The sequence below is a fragment of the Homo sapiens genome, chromosome X, assembly GCF_000001405.40.
Source record: "Homo sapiens chromosome X, GRCh38.p14 Primary Assembly".
Classification (NCBI taxonomy): Eukaryota; Metazoa; Chordata; class Mammalia; order Primates; family Hominidae; genus Homo; species Homo sapiens.
Window position 1 is genome coordinate 54,114,033 of NC_000023.11, and position 21,847 is coordinate 54,135,879.

The 21,847-nt window shown below is 44.0% G+C and overlaps 1 protein-coding gene across 3 annotated transcripts in view, besides 1 other annotated feature; it reads right to left on the reverse strand.

Annotated features, from left to right (window-relative positions):
• Positions 1-21,847, reverse strand: part of FAM120C (family with sequence similarity 120 member C) — a 114,931-nt gene that overhangs the window by 45,709 nt on the left and 47,375 nt on the right. For all 3 annotated transcript variants that reach the window (NM_001300788.2, NM_017848.6, XM_006724589.5), the window contains exons 6-10: positions 21,496-21,572; positions 20,799-21,079; positions 19,741-20,014; positions 18,660-18,831; positions 2,513-2,762 (exon numbers count right to left, since the gene is read on the reverse strand). In NM_001300788.2, the coding sequence (NP_001287717.1) occupies positions 2,513-2,762; positions 18,660-18,831; positions 19,741-20,014; positions 20,799-21,079; positions 21,496-21,572 (1,054 nt within the window). The remainder of the gene's footprint in view (positions 1-2,512; positions 2,763-18,659; positions 18,832-19,740; positions 20,015-20,798; positions 21,080-21,495; positions 21,573-21,847) is intronic.
• Positions 14,397-14,917: an enhancer, noted in NCBI's record as "NANOG-H3K27ac hESC enhancer chrX:54154862-54155382 (GRCh37/hg19 assembly coordinates)". NCBI's record gives its function as "activates a minimal SCP1, AML or CMV promoter by ChIP-STARR-seq in naive H9 embryonic stem cells {active_cell/tissue: H9 hESC(naive)}" and the evidence as "EXISTENCE:reporter gene assay evidence [ECO:0000049][PMID:30033119]".

The following is a 21,847-nucleotide window of genomic DNA, read 5'->3' on the forward strand; positions in this document are numbered from 1 at the left end:
GTGTGATACACACACACACACACACACACACACACACACACTGGAGTACTATTCAGCCATAAAAAAGAATGAAATCATGTCTTTTGCAGCAACATGGATGGAACTAGAGGCCATTATCTTAAGTGAAATAACTCAGAAAGTCAAGTACCACATGCTCTCACTTATAAGTGGGAGGTAAATAATGTGTGCACATGGACGTAGACAGTGGAATAATACACATTGGGGACTCAGAAGGGTGGGAAGGGGGTGAGGGATTGAAAATTACTTAATGGGTACAATGTACACTATTTGAGTGATGGCTACGTGAAAAGCCCAGACTTTACCACTATACAATATATCCATGCAACAAAAGGACACCTGTACCCCTTAAATCTATAAAAATAAAGTTTTTTTTTGTTTTTGTTTTTTTGGTTTTTTTTTGTTGTGTTTTGAGACAGAGTCTCGCTCTGTCATCCAGGCTACAGTGCAGTGGCACAATCTCGACTTACTGCAACCTCCACCTCCGGGGTTCAAGTGATCCTCCCTCCTCCCAAGTAGCTGGGACCACAGGCGTGCACCACCATGCCCAGCTAATTTTTGTATTTTTAGTAGAGACAGGGTTTTGCCATGTTGGCCAGGCTGGTCTTTAACTCCTGGCCTCAAGTGATCCACCCGCCTCGGCCTCCCAAAGTGCTGGGGTTACAGGTGTGAGCCACTGCACCCAGCCTAATTTTGTTTGTTTGTTTGTTTTTTTGAGACAGAATCTCACTTTGTTGCCCAGGCTGGAGTGCAGTGGCACAATCTCAGATCACTGCAACCTCTGCCTGCTGGGTTCAAGCGATTCTCCTGCCTCAGCCTCTCAAGTAGCTGGGATTACAAGCACCCACCACCATGTCTGGCTAATTTTGTAATTTTTTTTCTTTTTTTTGTATAGATGGGGTTTCATCATGCTGTCCAGGCTGGTCTTGAACTCCTGGCCTCAAGTGATCCACCCACCTTGGCCTCCCAAAGTGCTAGGATTACAGGCATGAGCCACCACGCCCAGCCAAGTTAAATTTTTAAAAGGCTAGTAAAAACGAAATACTGCTGGTAAACAAAGAACACTATATATAAAGTTTAAACAAATTGTGACTGATACACATGCACAGACACATGCATGCACACTCAAATATAGAAAAGATATTTGCTACATGTGTGTCTGAGTGTACACACATACATATCTGACAAAGAACTTCTGTAATCAGCAAAATAAGACAAGTAACCTAATAAAAAATTTGCAAGACAAATAAAGAAGCACTTCAGAGAATGAGAAAACTCAAATGGCTAATAAGCATAAAAATAGAAGATCAACCTCCTCTGTAGTCAAATGCAAATTAAAATTAAAGATACTACTTGAAAACACTAGATTGGCAAAATTAAGAAGTTTTATGGTATTAGTACTGGCAATAATATGAGGAAATGAAACACGTATTGTTCACAGGAATATAAATTGGTGCAGCTATAATCTAGAGCAATTTGGCAGTATTTAGTGAAAAAGCTACATGCGTATTTTACAGGATCGAGAAATTCTACTTCTCAGTATATGCTTTAAACTGACTCAGGAACACAAAGAGACACAGACATCTATGAAGAAATCCCCTGCAGCACTATTTGTAATACTAAAGAACTGGAAACAATTATCTATCAATCAGTATTAGTATTTGATAGAACATAACCCAACAGTGAAGAGGAACGATTGATATATGAACATGGACAGACCTCAAAAATAATATTGAGTGAAAAAAAGAAACAGGCCGGGCGGGGTGGCTCATGCCTGTAATCCCAGAACTTTGGGAGGCCAAGGTGGGCAGATCACCTGAGGTCAGTTCGAGATCAGCCTGGCCAACATGGTGAAACCCCATCTCTACTAAAAATACAAAATTAGCCAGGCATGGTGGCACATGCCTGCAATCCCAGCTACTTGGGAGGCTGAGGCAGGAGAATCATTTGAACCCAGGAGGTGGAGGTTGCAGTGAACCAAGATTACGCCATTGCACTCCAACCTGGGCAACAAGAGTGAAACTCCATCTCAATAAAAAAGGGAAAAAAAAGAAACAATGAGATGTACAGCACAATACCATTCATGCCATAAAAGGAAAAATGTTTACCCATAGAAAATACTATAGGCTGTGCATGAATACATGGATGTCTAAACAAATATATGAAAGATGGCTTGGAAGGACACACATCAAATACCCAAGAGTAGATGACTATGGGTGAATAAAAGAAGGAAATTGGATCAGGGACGAGGACTGAACAAGACAAAAACTAAACTAAAACCAAATATAAAAGAGGAGTCATGCATGGACCGATATGACCAAGGATCATAAACTGAGGAGGCTGTCTGAACAATCATTTTCGGTGTTTCTGGCGCATAAGCCAAACATAAAATAAAAATTTCCCCACCTTGAAATACCATAAAAGCAGGTGCTTAAAGGAAATATAAAAAAAGTAAAAGAGAAAGAACAGGCCACCTGCCTGTCAGGTAGCTTACCGGAGTACACAACACATGAGCAGCAGATGGGTGGGGACATTAGCTGGATTGAGCATACTGGGCGTGTCCGACTTCATACAGGCCAGGAAGGCCCGCATCCTTCTGTTCTTGTCTTCAACTGCTTTGCCTAGCCAGAGCTTCTTGAGGTTTGGGCAAGTCCATTCCCGAAATGTCAGTGCAGACACCAGCTCAGGGGTTTGAGGTGACTTCCCTTTATAGGCAGACCACTCTTTAAGGATCACTGAAGGAACTGGAAAACAGAAATTGAGGAAAAAGAGGCTCTAGAGAATCTCTCAGCATTTCTACGGCTAGCCACAGGACATTGACAGGCTCCATTGCATTTCAACTCTTAATTTTCTGTCACAATAATTTTTATTTTTAGCAGCAGGAATAGTACACGTTTATTAAGTGCTTGATATGCAAGTACTTTATATATATCATCTCATTAATCCTCACAAAAATCCTGAGAGGGAACTATTATGATACATTATCACAAAACAAAAGGCTTATTTTGCAGATAAAGAAATCAAGGGGCTGGGTGTGGTGGTTCACACGTTTAATCCCAGCAATTTGGGAGGCTGAGGCAGGAGGATCGCTTGAGCCCAGGAGTACAAGACCAGCCCCGGCAAGATGGAGAGATCCCACCTCCACAGAAAATTTAAAAATTAGCTGGGTGTGGTGGCATGCGCTGCCAGCGACTTGGAAGGCTGAGGCAGGAGTATCCCTTGAGCCCAGGAGTTTGAGGCAGCAGTGAGCTATGATCTTCCCACTGCACTCCAGCCTGGGTGACAGAGTGAAATCCTGTCTCTAAAAATAAAATAAAATAAAATAAAATAAAATAAAATAAAATAAAATAAAATAAAATAAAATAAGGCCAGGCGTGGTGGCTCACACCTGTAATCCCAGAATTTTGGGAGGCTGAGGTAGATCACTTGAGGTCAGGAGTTCAAGACCAGCCTGGCCAACATGGTGAAACCCTGTTTCTACCAAAAAAAAAAAAAAAATTAGCCAGGCATAGTGGTGGGTGCCTGTAATCCCAGCTACTCTGGAGGCAGAGGCAGGAGAATCGCTTGAACCTGGGAGGCGGAGATTGCAGTGAGCCAAGATCAAGTCACCGCACTGCAGCCTGGGCGACAGAGCGAGACTTCGTTTGAAAAAAAAACAAAAAAAAACAAAAAGTAACTTGGAGAAATAAATCAAGGTCCAATGTCACACATTTCTTAGTTACTCTGAATCTTATTTTTTCAGTAGATGCACCAGGGTAAACAAGGAAAGAAGCACAAGGAAGAATTATGTAAATATCTGGCTTTATAATACACAATGAGATACACCAAAAGATATTAAGATATTTCACAAAATTCTCAAAAAAATCAACATCTTTTAGATTCACAAAGGCAGGCTGGGCGTGGTGGTTCACGCCTGTAATCCCAGCACTTTGGGAGGCCGAGGCGGGCGGATCACCTGAGGTCAGGAGTTCGAGACCAGCCTGACCAACATGGAGAAACCCCATCTCTACTAAAAATACAAAATTAGCTGGGCATGGTGGTGCATGCCTGTAATCCCAGCTACTCGAGAGGCTGAGGCAGGAGAATCGCTTGAACCCAGGAGGCAGAGGTTGCAATGAGCCAAGATTGTGCCATTGGACTCCAGCCTGGGCAACAAGAGTGAAACTCCATCTAAAAAAAAAAAAAAAGAACCTGGCATTTTCACTCAGCATATGCCCTTAAGATCCATCCATGTTGCTGCATGTATCGATAGTACATTCTTTTTTTTGCTGAGTAATATTCCATGGCAAGAATGCACCACAGTTTAATCATTCACCCATTGAAGCATATCTGGGTTGCTTCCAGTTTGGGGTCATAATGCTGTCTTGTGAATATGTTCCTGCATGAAAATAAGTCTTTATTTCTCTAATATAAATGCCCAAGAGTGTAAGTGCTGGGTTGTATAAGTCTATTTTTAGTTTTGAAAGAAACTGACAAAGTATTTTCCAGAATGGCAGTATCATTTTACATTCCCACCAGCATTTACGGGTGATCCAGCTTCTCTGCATCCTCTCCGGGATATGGTATTATCACTATTATTCACCATTGCCATTTTGGTAAGTATGTAGTGATATTTCATTGTGGTTTTAATTTGTATTTTTCTTTTTTTCTTTTTTTTTTTTTTTTTTTTTTTTTTAATTATACTCTAAGTTTTAGGGTACATGTGCATATTGTGCAGGTTAGTTACATATGTATACATGTGCCATGCTGGTGCGCTGCACCCACTAATGTGTCATCTAGCATTAGGTATATCTCCCAATGCTATCCCTCCCCCCTCCCCCGACCCCACCACAGTCCCCAGAGTGTGATATTCCCCTTCCTGTGTCCATGTGATCTCATTGTTCAGTTCCCACCTATGAGTGAGAATATGCGGTGTTTGGTTTTTTGTTCTTGCGATAGTTTACTGAGAATGATGGTTTCCAATTTCATCCATGTCCCTACAAAGGATATGAACTCATCATTTTTTATGGCTGCATAGTATTCCATGGTGTATATGTGCCACATTTTCTTAATCCAGTCTATCATTGTTGGACATTTGGGTTGGTTCCAAGTCTTTGCTATTGTGAATAGTGCCGCAATAAACATACGTGTGCATGTGTCTTTATAGCAGCATGATTTATACTCATTTGGGTATATACCCAGTAATGGGATGGCTGGGTCAAATGGTATTTCTAGTTCTAGATCCCTGAGGAATCGCCACACTGACTTCCACAATGGTTGAACTAGTTTACAGTCCCACCAACAGTGTAAAAGTGTTCCTATTTCTCCACATCCTCTCCAGCACCTGTTGTTTCCTGACTTTTTAATGATTGCCATTCTAACTGGTGTGAGATGATATCTCATAGTGGTTTTGATTTGCATTTCTCTGATGGCCAGTGATGATGAGCATTTCTTCATGTGTTTTTTGGCTGCATAAATGTCTTCTTTTGAGAAGTGTCTGTTCGTGTCCTTCGCCCACTTTTTGATGGGGTTGTTTGTTTTTTTCTTGTAAATTTGTTTGAGTTCATTGTAGATTCTGGATATTAGCCCTTTGTCAGATGAGTAGGTTGCGAAAATTTTCTCCCATTTTGTAGGTTGCCTGTTCACTCTGATGGTAGTTTCTTTTGCTGTGCAGAAGCTCTTTAGTTTAATTAGATCCCATTTGTCAATTTTGTCTTTTGTTGCCATTGCTTTTGGTGTTTTGGACATGAAGTACTTGCCCACGCCTATGTCCTGAATGGTAATGCCTAGGTTTTCTTCTAGGGTTTTTATGGTTTTAGGTTTAACGTTTAAATCTTTAATCCATCTTGAATTGATTTTTGTATAAGGTGTAAGGAAGGGATCCAGTTTCAGCTTTCTACATATGGCTAGCCAGTTTTCCCAGCACCATTTATTAAATAGGGAATCCTTTCCCCATTGCTTGTTTTTCCCAGGTTTGTCAAAGATCAGATAGTTGTAGATATGCGGCATTATTTCTGAGGGCTCTGTTCTGTTCCATTGATCTATATCTCTGTTTTGGTACCAGTACCATGCTGTTTTGGTTACTGTAGCCTTGTAGTATAGTTTGAAGTCAGGTAGTGTGATGCCTCCAGCTTTGTTCTTTTGGCTTAGGATTGACTTGGCAATGCGGGCTCTTTTTTGGTTCCATATGAACTTTAAAGTAGTTTTTTCCAATTCTGTGAAGAAAGTCATTGGTAGCTTGATGGGGATGGCATTGAATCTGTAAATTACCTTGGGCAGTATGGCCATTTTCACGATATTGATTCTTCCTACCCATGAGCATGGAATGTTCTTCCAATTGTTTGTGTCCTCTTTTATTTCCTTGAGCAGTGGTTTGTAGTTCTCCTTGAAGAGGTCCTTCACATCCCTTGTAAGTTGGATTCCTAGGTATTTTATTCTCTTTGAAGCAATTGTGAATGGGAGTTCACCCATGATTTGGCTCTCTGTTTGTCTGTTGTTGGTGTATAAGAATGCTTGTGATTTTTGTACATTGATTTTGTATCCTGACACTTTGCTGAAGTTGCTTATCAGCTTAAGGAGATTTTGGGCTGAGACGATGGGGTTTTCTAGATAAACAATCATGTCGTCTGCAAACAGGGACAATTTGACTTCCTCTTTTCCTAATTGAATACCCTTTATTTCCTTCTCCTGCCTGATTGCCCTGGCCAGAACTTCCAACACTATGTTGAATAGGAGCGGTGAGAGAGGGCATCCCTGTCTTGTGCCAGTTTTCAAAGGGAATGCTTCCAGTTTTTGCCCATTCAGTATGATATTGGCTGTGGGTTTGTCATAGATAGCTCTTATTATTTTGAAATACGTCCCATCAATACCTAATTTATTGAGAGTTTTTAGCATGAAGGGTTGTTGAATTTTGTCAAAGGCTTTTTCTGCATCTATTGAGATAATCATGTGGTTTTTGTCTTTGGCTCTGTTTATATGCTGGATTACATTTATTGATTTGCGTATATTGAACCAGCCTTGCATCCCAGGGATGAAGCCCACTTGATCATGGTGGATAAGCTTTTTGATGTGCTGCTGGATTCGGTTTGCCAGTATTTTATTGAGGATTTTTGCATCAATGTTCATCAAGGATATTGGTCTAAAATTCTCTTTTTTGGTTGTGTCTCTGCCTGGCTTTGGTATCAGAATGATGCTGGCCTCATAAAATGAGTTAGGGAGGATTCCCTCTTTTTCTATTGATTGGAATAGTTTCAGAAGGAATGGTACCAGTTCCTCCTTGTACCTCTGGTAGAATTCGGCTGTGAATCCATCTGGTCCTGGACTCTTTTTGGTTGGTAAACTATTGATTATTGCCACAATTTCAGAGCCTGTTATTGGTCTATTCAGAGATTCAACTTCTTCCTGGTTTAGTCTTGGGAGAGTGTATGTGTCGAGGAATGTATCCATTTCTTCTAGATTTTCTAGTTTATTTGCGTAGAGGTGTTTGTAGTATTCTCTGATGGTAGTTTGTATTTCTGTGGGATCGGTGGTGATATCCCCTTTATCATTTTTTATTGTGTCTATTTGATTCTTCTCTCTTTTTTTCTTTATTAGTCTTGCTAGCGGTCTATCAATTTTGTTGATCCTTTCAAAAAACCAGCTCCTGGATTCATTGATTTTTTGAAGGGTTTTTTGTGTCTCTATTTCCTTCAGTTCTGCTCTGATTTTAGTTATTTCTTGCCTTCTGCTAGCTTTTGAATGTGTTTGCTCTTGCTTTTCTAGTTCTTTTAATTGTGATGTTAGGGTGTCAATTTTGGATCTTTCCTGCTTTCTCTTGTAGGCATTTAGTGCTATAAATTTCCCTCTACACACTGCTTTGAATGCGTCCCAGAGATTCTGGTATGTGGTGTCTTTGTTCTCGTTGGTTTCAAAGAACATCTTTATTTCTGCCTTCATTTCGTTATGTACCCAGTAGTCATTCAGGAGCAGGTTGTTCAGTTTCCATGTAGTTGAGCGGCTTTGAGTGAGATTCTTAATCCTGAGTTCTAGTTTGATTGCACTGTGGTCTGAGAGATAGTTTGTTATAATTTCTGTTCTTTTACATTTGCTGAGGAGAGCTTTACTTCCAACTATGTGGTCAATTTTGGAATAGGTGTGGTGTGGTGCTGAAAAAAATGCATATTCTGTTGATTTGGGGTGGAGAGTTCTGTAGATGTCTATTAGGTCTGCTTGGTACAGAGCTGAGTTCAATTCCTGGGTATCCTTGTTGACTTTCTGTCTCGTTGATCTGTCTAATGTTGACAGTGGGGTGTTAAAGTCTCCCATTATTAATGTGTGGGAGTCTAAGTCTCTTTGTAGGTCACTGAGGACTTGCTTTATGAATCTGGGTGCTCCTGTATTGGGTGCATAAATATTTAGGATAGTTAGCTCCTCTTGTTGAATTGATCCCTTTACCATTATGTAATGGCCTTCTTTGTCTCTTTTGATCTTTGTTGGTTTAAAGTCTGTTTTATCAGAGACTAGGATTGCAACCCCTGCCTTTTTTTGTTTTCCATTGGCTTGGTAGATCTTCCTCCATCCTTTTATTTTGAGCCTATGTGTGTCTCTGCACGTGAGATGGGTTTCCTGAATACAGCACACTGATGGGTCTTGACTCTTTATCCAACTTGCCAGTCTGTGTCTTTTAATTGCAGAATTTAGTCCATTTATATTTAAAGTTAATATTGTTATGTGTGAATTTGATCCTGTCATTATGATGTTAGCTGGTGATTTTGCTCGTTAGTTGATGCAGTTTCTTCCTAGTCTCGATGGTCTTTACATTTTGGCATGATTTTGCAGCGGCTGGTACCGGTCGTTCCTTTCCATGTTTAGCGCTTCCTTCAGGAGCTCTTTTAGGGCAGGCCTGGTGGTGACAAAATCTCTCAGCATTTGCTTGTCTATAAAGTATTTTATTTCTCCTTCACTTATGAAGCTTAGTTTGGCTGGATATGAGATTCTGGGTTGAAAATTCTTTTCTTTAAGAATGTTGAATATTGGCCCCCACTCTCTTCTGGCTTGTAGGGTTTCTGCCGAGAGATCCGCTGTTAGTCTGATGGGCTTTCCTTTGAGGGTAACCCGACCTTTCTCTCTGGCTGCCCTTAACATTTTTTCCTTCATTTCAACTTTGGTGAATCTGACAATTATGTGTCTTGGAGTTGCTCTTCTCGAGGAGTATCTTTGTGGCGTTCTCTGTATTTCCTGAATCTGAACGTTGGCCTGCCTTGCTAGATTGGGGAAGTTCTCCTGGATAATATCCTGCAGAGTGTTTTCCAACTTGGTTCCATTCTCCACATCACTTTCAGGTACACCAATCAGACGTAGATTTGGTCTTTTCACATAGTCCCATATTTCTTGGAGGCTTTGCTCATTTCTTTTTATTCTTTTTTCTCTAAACTTCCCTTCTTGCTTCATTTCATTCATTTCATCTTCCATTGCTGATACCCTTTCTTCCACTTGATCGCATCGGCTCCTGAGGCTTCTGCATTCTTCACGTAGTTCTCGAGCCTTGGTTTTCAGCTCCATCAGCTCCTTTAAGCACTTCTCTGTATTGGTTATTCTAGTTATACATTCTTCTAAATTTTTTTCAAAGTTTTCAACTTCTTTGCCTTTGGTTTGAATGTCCTCCCGTAGCTCAGAGTAATTTGATCGTCTGAAGCCTTCTTCTCTCAGCTCGTCAAAATCATTCTCCATCCAGCTTTGTTCCATTGCTGGTGAGGAACTGCGTTCCTTTGGAGGAGGAGAGGCGCTCTGCGTTTTAGAGTTTCCAGTTTTTCTGTTCTGTTTTTTCCCCATCTTTGTGGTTTTATCTACTTTTGGTCTTTGATGATGGTGATGAACAGATGGGTTTTCGGTGTAGATGTCCTTTCTGTTTGTTAGTTTTCCTTCTAACAGACAGGACCCTCAGCTGCAGGTCTGTTGGAATACCCTGCCATGTGAGGTGTCAGTGTGCCCCTGCTGGGGGGTGCCTCCCAGTTAGGCTGCTCGGGGGTCAGGGGTCAGGGACCCACTTGAGGAGGCAGTCTGCCCGTTCTCAGATCTCCAGCTGCGTGCTGGGAGAACCACTGCTCTCTTCAAAGCTGTCAGACAGGGACACTTAAGTCTGCAGAGGTTACTGCTGTCTTTTTGTTTGTCTGTGCCCTGCCCCCAGAGGTGGAGCCTACAGAGGCAGGCAGGCCTCCTTGAGCTGTGGTGGGCTCCACCCAGTTCGAGCTTCCCAGCTGCTTTGTTTACCTAAGCAAGCCTGGGCAATGGCGGGCGCCCCTCCCCCAGCCTCGTTGCCGCCTTGCAGTTTGATCTCAGACTGCTGTGCTAGCAATCAGCGAGATTCCGTGGGCGTAGGACCCTCTGAGCCAGGTGTGGGATATAGTCTCGTGGTGCGCCGTTTCTTAAGCCGGTCTGAAAAGCGCAATATTCGGGTGGGAGTGACCCGATTTTCCAGGTGCGTCCGTCACCCCTTTCTTTGACTCGGAAAGGGAACTCCCTGACCCCTTGAGCTTCCCAGGTGAGGCAATGCCTCGCCCTGCTTCGGCTCGCGCACGGTGCGCACACACACTGGCCTGCGCCCACTGTCTGGCACTCCCTAGTGAGATGAACCCGGTACCTCAGATGGAAATGCAGAAATCACCCGTCTTCTGCGTCGCTCACGCTGGGAGCTGTAGACCGGAGCTGTTCCTATTCGGCCATCTTGGCTCCTCCCCACCGACCTAGAAGCTAATTTGTATTTTTCTAATGGCTACTGATGTTGAACATCTTTTCATGTCTTTATTTGCCATATGTATATCTTCTTCAGTGAAATGTCTGTGCATGTCTTTTGCCAATTTTCTAATTCAATTGTTTTTGTTATGTTCAGTTTTGAGAGTTCTTTATATATTTTAGATACTAGTATAGATATGTGGTACTTGTTCAACTATGGATGTCCAGTTGATCTAACACCATTTATATAAAAGAAACAAAAAACAACAAAAAAACTATCCTTCCTCCAATGAAGTGCTTTTGCAGCTTTGTCAATAATCAGTTTGCTGGCCAGGCATGACGGCTCACACCTGTAATCCCAGTTGAGGCTGAGGCAGGAGAATTGCTTGAGCCCGGGAGGCAGAGGTTGCAGTGAGCGGAGATTGTGCCACTGCACTCCAGCCTGGGTAATAGAGCGAGACTCTGTCTCAAAAAAAAAAAAAAAAAAATCAGTACTCATATGGGACTATTTCTGGATGCCCTGTTGTATTCCATTGATCTACATGTCAATACCTCTGCCTAGTCTTTTTTTTCTTTTAAGACAGGGTCTCGCTCTGACACCCAGACTACAGTGCAGTGGAGTGATCTCAGCTCACTGCAACTTCTACCCACTGGGCTCAAGTGATCCTCTCACCTCAGCCTCCTGAGGAGCTGGGACCACAGGTAATACACTACCACAACTGGCTATATATATTTTTTGTATTTTTAGCAGAGATGGGGTCTCTCCATGTTGCCCAGGCTGGTCTCAAATTCCAGAGCTCAAGGGATCCACCCACCTTGGCTTCCCAAAGTGCTGGGATTACAAGCGTGAGCGGCCATGCCTGGCCTACAATCTTAATTACTGTAGCTACCTAGTAAGTCTTACAATCAGGTTCAGCAATTGCTTTCAACTTATTCTTCCTTTTCAAAAATCATTTTAGCTAGTTTAATTCCTTTGTCTTTCCATATAAACATTAGAATCATCTTGTCTATATTTACAAAGAATCTTGCTGGGATTTGGATAGGAATTGCATCACACCTGTGTTATCAATTTGGGGAGAACTGACATCTTTACTATGTTGAGTTTTCTAATCCATGAACATCTGTATCTCTCCATTTATTAAGATCTTTGATTTCATCAGCATTTTGTGACTTTCAGCATACAGATTTTCAACACCTTTTGTTAAATTTTTATTTCATTTTCTTTGGAAGGACTGTAAATGGTCTTGCACTTTTTTCAGTTCCACATATTCATTGTTAGTATATAGAAAGGTAATCAATTTTTATATATTTATCTTGTATCCTGCAACCTTAACAAACTCACTTATTAGTTCCAGGAGTTTTGTTGTAGATTCCTTGTGATTTTTCTACACAGACTGACTATATGCCATCTGCAATTACAGTTTTATTTCTTCCTTACTGATGTCTATGCCTTCTATTTCATTTTCTTGCCTTACTGGTCTGGCTAAAACTTCCATTAGTATGTTGAAGAGCAGTAGAAAGAGCAGACATTCTAGCCTTCTTCCTGATTTTAGGAGAAAAACATCTTTCACCATTAAGTACAGTTGATCCTTGAACACAAGTTTGAGCTACACGGGTCCACTTATGCACAAATTTTTTTCAACCAAACACTGATAGAAAACACAGAATTCACATGATGCCAAACCCACGTATATAGAGGGCCAATTTTTCATATACACAGGTTCTGCAGGGCCTACCTACTGTGGGACTTGATTATGAGTGAATTTTAGTGTATGTGGGGGTCCTGGAACCAATCCCCCACATATGGCAAGGAATGACTGTATGTTAGCTGTAGGTTCTTTGTAGATGTTCTTTATCTTCAGGAAGTTCCCTTCTATTCTTAGTTTCCTGATAGTTCTTATCATGAATGAGTATTGAATTTTGTCAAATGCTTTTTCTGCATCCATTGATATAATCACATGATTTTTCTTCTTTAGCCTGTTTATTTGGTGGATTATATTTACAGATTTTTCAAATATTGAACAAGTCTTACAACAATGGAATAAACCCTACTCGGCCTTGGCCATGGCATGTAATTCTTTTTATATATTGCTGAATTCCCCTGGCTGATATTTCATTAAGAATTTTTGCATCCATATTGTCTTAGTCAATTTGGGCTGCTATAACAAAGTACCATAGACTGGGAGGCTTATAATCAACAGAAATTGATTTCTTACAGTTGTGGAGGCTCGGAAGTCTAAGATCAAGGTATTGGTAGAGGCATCTGGTGGGAACCTGCTTCCTGGTATGCAGATGGCTGTCTTCTCATTGTATCCTCATATAGTGGAGAGTAGAAAGAGCTATCTGGGGTTCCTTTTATAAGGGCACTAATCTCATTCATGAAGGTTCCATGCTCATGACCTAATTATCTCCCAAAGGCCCCATCTCTTAATACCATCACATTGGGGGTTAGGATTTCAACATAAGAATTGCGGGGGACAGGAACACTCAATCCATAACATATATTGATGAAGGATACTGGTCTGAAGTGTTGTTTTTATGTAATCCCTTTTCTTTTTAAGAGATGAGATGGCCGGGTGCAGTGGCTCACACCTGTAATCCCAGCACTTTGGGAGGCCGAGGCGGGCGGATCACGAGGTCAGGAGATCGAGACCATCCTGGCTAACATGGTGAAACCCTGTCTCTACTAAAAGTACAAAAAATTAGCCGGGCCTGGTGGTGGGCGCCTGTAGTCCCAGCTACTCGGGAGGCTGAGGCAGGAGAATGGTGTGAACCCGGGAGGTGGAGCTTGCAGTGAGCCGAGATTGTGCCACTGCATTCCAGCCAACAAACAAGACTCCATCTCAAAAAAAAAAAAAAAAAAAAAGATGAGATCTTATTCTGTTACCCAGGCTGGAGTGCAATGGAGTGGAGTGATCACAGCTCACTGCAGCCTCAAACTCCTGGATACAAGCAATCCTCTGGCCTCAGCCTGCGGAGTAGCTGGGACTACAGGTATGCACCATGCTCAGCTATATTAAAAAAAATTTTTTTTTGTAGTGATGGGGTCTCACTATGTTGCCCAGGCTGGTCTCAAACTCCTGGCCTCAATCATCTTCCCACTTGGGCCTCCCTAGGTATTGAGATTACAGACGTGAGCCACCATGCCTGGCCCAGGTATCTTTTTTGATATAATGATTTCTTTCCCTTTGAATGTATGCCCAGTAGTGGGATGGCTAGATTGAATGGTAGTTCGTTTTTTAGTTGAGAAATCTCTGTATTATTTTCTATAAAGGTTGTACTCATTTACATTCCTACCAACAGTATATAAGCATCCCCTTTTCTCTGCATCCTTGCCAACATCTGTTGGTTTTAGACTTGGTTCACGGCATCCTCCACCACCCAGATTCATGCAATTCTTGTGCCTCAGCCCCGCTTCCCTTCTCACCACCCTCCCACCCCCTCAAGAAGCTGGGATTACAAGTGTGTGCCACCATGCCCAGCTAATTTATTGTGTTTTTAGTAGAGACGGGTTTCGTCATGTTGGCCAGGCTGGTTTCAAACTCCTGGTCTCATGTGATCTGCCCGCCTCAGCCTCCCAAAGTGCTGGGATTACAGGCGTGAGCCACTGCACCCAGCTCACTGTGGTTTTAATATGCATTTCTCTGATAGCTAGTGATGCTGAGTATTTTTTCATATATTTGTCGGTCACTTGTACGTATTCTTTTGTAAAATGTCTTTTCTTGTCCTTTGCCTACTTTTTTTTTTTTTTAATTGATCATTCTTGGGTGTTTCTCGCAGAGGGGGATTTGGCAGGGTCATAGGACAATAGTGGAGGGAAGGTCAGCAGATAAACAAGTGAACAAAGGTCTCTGGTTTTCCTAGGCAAAGGACCCTGCGGCCTTCCGCAGTGTTTGTGTCCCTGGGTACTTGAGATTAGGGAGTGGTGATGACTCTTAACGAGCATGCTGCCTTCAAGCATCTGTTTAACAAAAACATCTTGCACCGCCCTTAATCCATTTAACCCTGAGTGGACACAGCACATGTTTCAGAGAGCACAGGGTTGGGGGTAAGGTCACAGATCAACAGGATCCCAAGGCAGAAGGATTTTTCTTAGTACAGAACAAAATGAAAAGTCTCCCATGTCTACTTCTTTCTACACAGACACAGCAACCATCCGATTTCTCAATCTTTTCCCCACCTTTCCCCCTTTTCTATTCCACAAAACCGCCATTGTCATCATGGCCCGTTCTCAATGAGCTGTTGGGTACACCTCCCAGACGGGGTGGTGGCCGGGCAGAGGGGCTCCTCACTTCCCAGTAGGGGCGGCCGGGCAGAGGCGCCCCCAACCTCCCGGACGGGGCGGCCGGCCGGGCAGGGGGCTGACCCCCCACCTCCCTCCCGGACGGGGCGGCCGGCCGGGGCGGCTGGCCTGGCGGGGGCTGACCCCCACCTCCCTCCCGGACGGGGTGGCTGCCGGGTGGAGACGCTCCTCACTTCCCAGACGGGGTGGCTGCCGGGCGGAGGGGCTCCTCACTTCTCAGACGGGGCGGCTGCCGGGCGGAGGGTCTCCTCACTTCTCAGACGGGCGGCCGGGCAGAGACGCTCCTCACCTCCCAGACGGGGTCGCAGCCGGGCAGAGGCGCTCCTCACATCCCAGACGGGGCGGCGGGGCAGAGGCCCTCCCCACATCTCAGATGATGGGCGGCCGGGCAGAGAAGCTCCTCACTTCCTAGATGGGATGGTGGCCGGGAAGAGGCGCTCCTCACTTCCTAGATCGGATGGAGGCCGGGCAGAGACGCTCCTCACTTTCCAGACTGGGCAGCCAGGCAGAGGGGCTCCTCACATCCCAGACGATGGGCGGCCAGGCAGAGACGCTCCTCACTTCCCAGACGGGGTGGTGGCCAGGCAGAGGCTGCAATCTCGGCACTTTGGGAGGCCAAGGCAGGCGGCTGGGAGGTGGAGGTTGTAGCGAGCCAAGATCACGCCACTGCACTCCAGCCTGGGCACCATTGAGCACTGAGTGAACGAGACTCCGTCTGCAATCCCGGCTCCTCGGGAGGCCGAGGCTGGCGGATCACTTGCGGTTAGGAGCTGGAGACCAGCCCGGCCAACACAGCGAAACCCGGTCTCCACCAAAAAAATATGAAAACCAGTCAGGCGTGGCGGCGCGCGCCTGCAATCGCAGGCACTCGGCAGGCTGAGGCAGGAGAATCAGGCAGGGAGGTTGCAGTGAGCCGAGATGGCAACAGTACAGTCCAGCTTCGGCTCGGCATCAGAGGGAGACCGTGGAAAGAGAGGGAGAGGGAGACCCTGGGGAGAGGGAGAGGGAGAGGGAGAGGGACACCGTGGGGAGAGGGAGAGGGAGAGGGAGACCGTGGGGAGAGGGAGAGGGAGAGGGAGAGGGAGACCGTGGGGAGAGGGAGAGGGAGAGGGAGAGGGAGAGCTGCCTACTTTTTAATGGGGTTATTTGCTTTTTTCTTGTTGAGTTCCTTGTAGATTCTGAATATTACCCCTTTGTCCAACGCATAGTTTGCAAATATTTTTCCCATTCTGTAGGCTATTTACTCTGTTGATTGTTTCTTTTGCTATGCAAAAGTCAAATATGTTTATAACTGTTTATCAAAGCATTTTTATGGTGGCTGTTGTGAAATCCTTGTCAGATAATTCAAACTTCTGTCATCTCTGTGTTCGTTTTGTTTTCTTGAGGTCTGAATTTGTTATCTTTCTGGTTCTAGGTATGATGAGGAATTTTCCATTGAAAACTGGACATTTTGGGTATTATTTTAAAATACTCTGGATCTTACTTAAACCTTGTGTATTAGTAGGCCTTTTCTGACCCCACTATGGTGGGTGAAGGGGGACACTGTGTCATTATTGACAGGTGGAAGTGGAAGTCCTGGCTCCCCACTTGACCTTATCTGACACCTCCCCAGCAGGAGCAGGTAGGGGCACCTCATTACAGCCTGGGCAAGTATGGAAGTCTAGGTTCTTCATTTGGCCTTTGCTGGTAGGGGTGGGGGTAGACCATTGTTTTCCTGTGGTATTTGGCTGGAGTACAGAGATTATTATTTAAAAATCTTTGTGTTGTTAGGTTGTTCTTTTCTGGTCCTTTGGCCAGAGAAAGTAGGTTTTGTGGTGGGCTTATAATGGTCTGCAGCTGTTGACATTTATGGGCTGCCAGTTTGTCCTACACCCAGTCTGGGATACGTGAGGCAAAAAGAAAATTCAGGGAACTCACCACTGCACCACTGCGTCATTCCTTGGGCCCCAAGATTTCTACTTTCTAGAGTGTCTTGTCCTTGTTTTATGGATAATGTCCTGGGCTTTTAGTTGTACTTAGCATGAGGACTAAGGAAAAATACATCTGATCTACTCTATCTTCCCAGAAACAGAGAAATGTTCTTTTGAACACACTAATTTGACTATGGCACTGTGTAGCTTAAAATACTTCAATGTCTCCAACTACCTACAGGTTCAAATCCCAAAACAAAAAATTCATGGGAGAGAGACTGTTAGATACACCTCTATGTTCCCAAAGCCCAGTATGGTTCTTTCTTTTTGTGTGTGAGACGGGGTCTCCTCTGTCACCCAGGCTGGAGTGCAGTGGCGCGATCACAGCTCACTGCAGCCTCAACCTCCCAGGGTCAAGCAATCTTCCCACCTCAGTCCCACAAGTAGGTGGGACTAGAGGCACATGCCACCATGCCCAGCTAATTTTTTTTTTTTTTTTTTCTGAGACGGAGTTTCGCTCTTGTTGCCGAGGCTGGAGTGCAATGGCACGATCTCGGCTCACCGCAACCTCCGCCTCCTGAGTTCAAGCGATTCTCCTGCCTCAGTCTCCCAAGTAGCTAGGATTACAGGCATGCGCCACCATGCCCGGCTAATTTTGTATTTTGGGTAGAAACAGGGTTTCTCCATGTTGGTCAGGCTGGTCTCGAACTCCTGACCTCAGGTGATCCGCCCGCCTTGGCCTCCCAAAGTGCTGGGATTACAGGCATGAGCCACTGCACCTGGCCTGTTTTTCTTTTTTCTTTCTTTCTTTCTTTTTTTTTTTTTTTGAGACGGAGTCTGGCTCTGTCGCCCAGGCTGGAGTGCAGTGGAGCAATCTCGGCTCACTGCAAGCTCCGCCTCCCAGGTTCATGCCATTCTCCCGAGTAGCTGGGACTACAGGCGCCTGCCACTGTGCCCAGCTAATTTTTTTTTGTATTTTTTAGTAGAGATGGGGTTTCACTGGGTTAGCCAGGATGGTCTCGATCTCCTGACCTCGTCATCTGCCCGCCTCGGCCTCCCAAAGTGCTGGGATTACAGGCGTGAGCCACTGCGCCCGGCCTTTATTATTATTATTATTTTTTGAGACAGGGTCTCACTCTGTCACCCAGGCTGGAGTACAGTAACACGATCAGGGCTCACTGCAGCCTTGACCTCCCAGACTCAATCAATTCTCCCATCTCAGCCCCCCAAGTAGCTGGGACTACACGTGTACACAACCACGCCTAATTTTTTCAATTTTTAGTAGAGATGGAGTTTCTCCATGTTGCCCAGGCTGGTCTTGAACTCCTGGACTCAAGTGATCCATCCACCTCAGCCCCACAAAGTACTGGGATTACAGGCATGAGGCACAGCACCCGGCATTTTTTCTAGTGATGGAGTCTTGCCACGTTGCCCAGGCTGGTCTTGAATTCCTGAGCTTAAGTGATCCGCCTGCCTTGGCCTCCCAAAGTGCTGGGATTACAGGTATGAGCTGCCATGCCTGGTCCAGCATGGTTCTTATAAGTAGTAGTCACTCTAAATGCTTGAATAATTGCAGAATTGGGGCTTAAGTTAATGTATTCCCAGTATCAGTATGCATTTTGTTGAATGTTGCATTTTCTTAAAGACTACTCCATAGCCAAAGGTACCCAATGTGCCTGGACAGACATATCTGCTGTGTCAAGTGCTGAGAGAATTGTCATAGCTAGAACTACACTTACCTTCCACAGGCAGCCGCCGTCGCATGGCCAAGCGTTCCATTTTCCTCTGTGTCTCTGCCAGACTAAAAAGAACTCCATATACATATTGACGAGCTGACCGGAATAAGAGAGCAGCTGGAGGCAGCTCCATGTTACACTCATCCTCAATACATACGGGGATCTTAATTTCACCCTAACAAGAGAACATTCCAGGGAAAAGGAAAAAATGAGTTACCTCAAGGTTTAGAACTGAGCTGAGAAGAGCCAATAATAAACTGTAGCCTCTGTGGCCTACTAAATTTATTTGTATTTAGACAGTTTCATACTAAAAAGAAGCTGTAACAAGCTTAGCTGATTGCAGCCTACTTATAAGCTATATTTCATTTTTAAAGTCTCAACGGCTGGGCATGGTGGCTCATGCCTGTAATCCCAGCACTTTGAGAGGCTGAGGCGGGTGGATCACCTGAGGTCAGGAGTTCTAGACCAGGTGAAACCCCGTTTCTACTAAAAATACAAAAGTTAGCCAGGTGTGGTGGCAGGTGCCTGTAGTCCCAGCTACTCAGGAGGGCTGAGGCCGGAGAATTGCTTGAACCTCGGAGGCAGAAGAGTACAGCACTCCAGCTTGGGCAACAGAGCGAGACTCTGTCTCAAAAAATAAAACAAAATAAAATAAAATAAAGTCTCAACAATGACTATAGCTAATGAATGGGGAAAGTCCACCTTAGGCATTTTGCTCGAGGATGGACATGTATAAGACCAGAGGAGGGGAACAGCTTTGTGGAAGTAGAAAAAGAAATAAGGAAAAGGGCATAAAGCCTCTTAGACTGTGTCCATCCCTAGAACCAGACCAACTTGGTGCATTATCTACTTCAAAATCTCACAATTACACTTCTCTTCTAGGGGACTCATTTACCACACAGTCCCAACTCCTGCTAGTCTGGCCTCACCTAAGGCCTTAGTAGGATGAGGGGCCCACCACATGTGGCCTTCTTTTTCTAACTTCATATACCAGTGACCAGAATGTTCTCTGTAACTTACAGTCCTAGGAAGTAGGAAGTACAGTGTTAAGAGCAGGGAGGTAGGTGCTGATGTGCTGCCTCACCTTAGTGAGGACATGGTAGATATATGGGTACATAAGACCCCTCCGGTGTCTGTGTTCAGCAACTCTCAAGACTTCTGGAGCTACTGGAGGTAAGGGTGGAATGGTGATATCCATGTGGTTCCTTGTAGACATAGACAGCAGAGATGGGATGTGGGGCTCACCATCACCTAGGCTCGCTTCTGAAACTCCAGTATCAACAGGCTGTGCCCAGGACCCTCTGTCACGATTGGGATTTCCCCACTCAGGCTGGTGATGAAATGCTTCTGTGATATGACTAAAAAATGTAGAAAGACAGTGTCAAACAGAAAAGGGAGATTGATAAAGATATTCCTACTTAAGATGCCTGTTCTGGACCCAAGGGGTCTCACAAACCCTTTGGAGGGCAGGACACTGGGTTAGCACTGGACTGGTACCTTTCCTCTCAATGGCCATTACTGACTTCCTGGTTTCTTTCACCTGACACCAACCAAAGTGATCAAAAGTCATGGGAATCACTCTGGACCCTTTATACCTTGTAAGAGGCCATGTTTAGAGTTTGCTTATGTTTTAAGAAAATAATCACAATTACAACCTCAAAGCAGCTCTGTTTCCCAGGACTAATCTGCTTAGAGGAATAATCAACGAACAAATGAGCTAGCACAAATCCCACTGTTTTAATCCTCAGAACCCTGTCTTAGTTACTAAGCAATAAAATTGCTTACTCAACGATTCCACTATTTCCACTCTATAAATGCTTTTCTTTTTTTGACATTTAATCTGCCCTCCTCACAAATTAAGAAATGACAGCCACAATACCCATACCAAGGCTTCCTTAATCAGCTCCTATGCTGCCTTTTACTTCAGTGGCCTGGGTGTTTGAAAATTACCATCTGCACAGGGCCAAATAAGCATGAAGTGGGCAAGCATAGAAAACGTTTTCCTACTTTGCTTTCCTAAGAGCAAAACACTACAGAGGAAACCCAGGAATACACTTTCCCACACCCTCCACCCATCTAACAAGCAAAATAATACAGATGCCTCAGAAATCTACTTCCTTAGGTGTCTACAGAGATACTTACTCAGAGCTAGCTCCATTTGGCTCATCACCATCAGAGGAAGAGGAGTGGGAAGAGTCTGGTCCCAAAGGAGGTGAGGCTTTAGAAGGCAGGTAATTGGGAAACTGGGATGCAGAAGAGTCATAGGAGACAGCCCAATTGGCAAAGGGGCTGTTCTGCAGCATGGGATCCTCAGAAAAAGCATGGGATTCCCCCAAAGCATGGGAGGAGAAGAGAAGAGATGAGTTGGGTCCCACTGGGAATGGTGGTGGATATTTCACTTTCTGGGGCACTTGATGAGAAAACTAAACGATAAAACAGACAGAAAAGCTATTTAACATTTTATAAGGCTCCAAGGTGGCTCCCTCAGAAGTTGTGACACAGTGGATGATGCCAGCAGTGGAGATTGTTGAGATACAAAGCACCTAATGAGAATAATGAGAAATGATGTATGAACAGAATCCTCCACAGACAGGACAATGAACAGTTGAAGTCTCCTAGAACTATTCTCTGATATTAGCTAATCTATTTTCACAATGACTAGTGGTTACTGATTTGGATGCTTTTTTTGCATAGTCTTCCAGCCTTAAGTTGAGAAGGTAATATAGTATATATAGCCCTGACAGTCTAATAACACTGAATCACCCTAACTCCTCAGATTATAAAAATCAGGAAGCAACCTGAGTCTAATGCTATCTCAGGCTTCTTAAAGGATGCTTACCATTGGCTTTCCAGCAGAAATGGTGCCCACTTGATTTCGTGGAAGGGGAGGATTTCCAAGCCTATTATTCCGAAAACCTGAAGCCAAGAGAAAGAGCTATACTTCAGTCAATCCTAATAATTTTACCATGTTATATTCTGCTCACCCCATATCACCTGAAAAAGTGTTATTAATAAATAAGTTACAATTTATTGAACAGCTACTATGTGCCATGCTGAGAACCTTACATAAATTATTTCATCTGATAAGAATCTTATAAAGTAGGTATCATGAGCCACATTTCATATAAATGTGACTTGCCAAGGTTCACTTGCTGGTAATTAGCAGAAGTGGAATTCCAACTCAGGCCAGA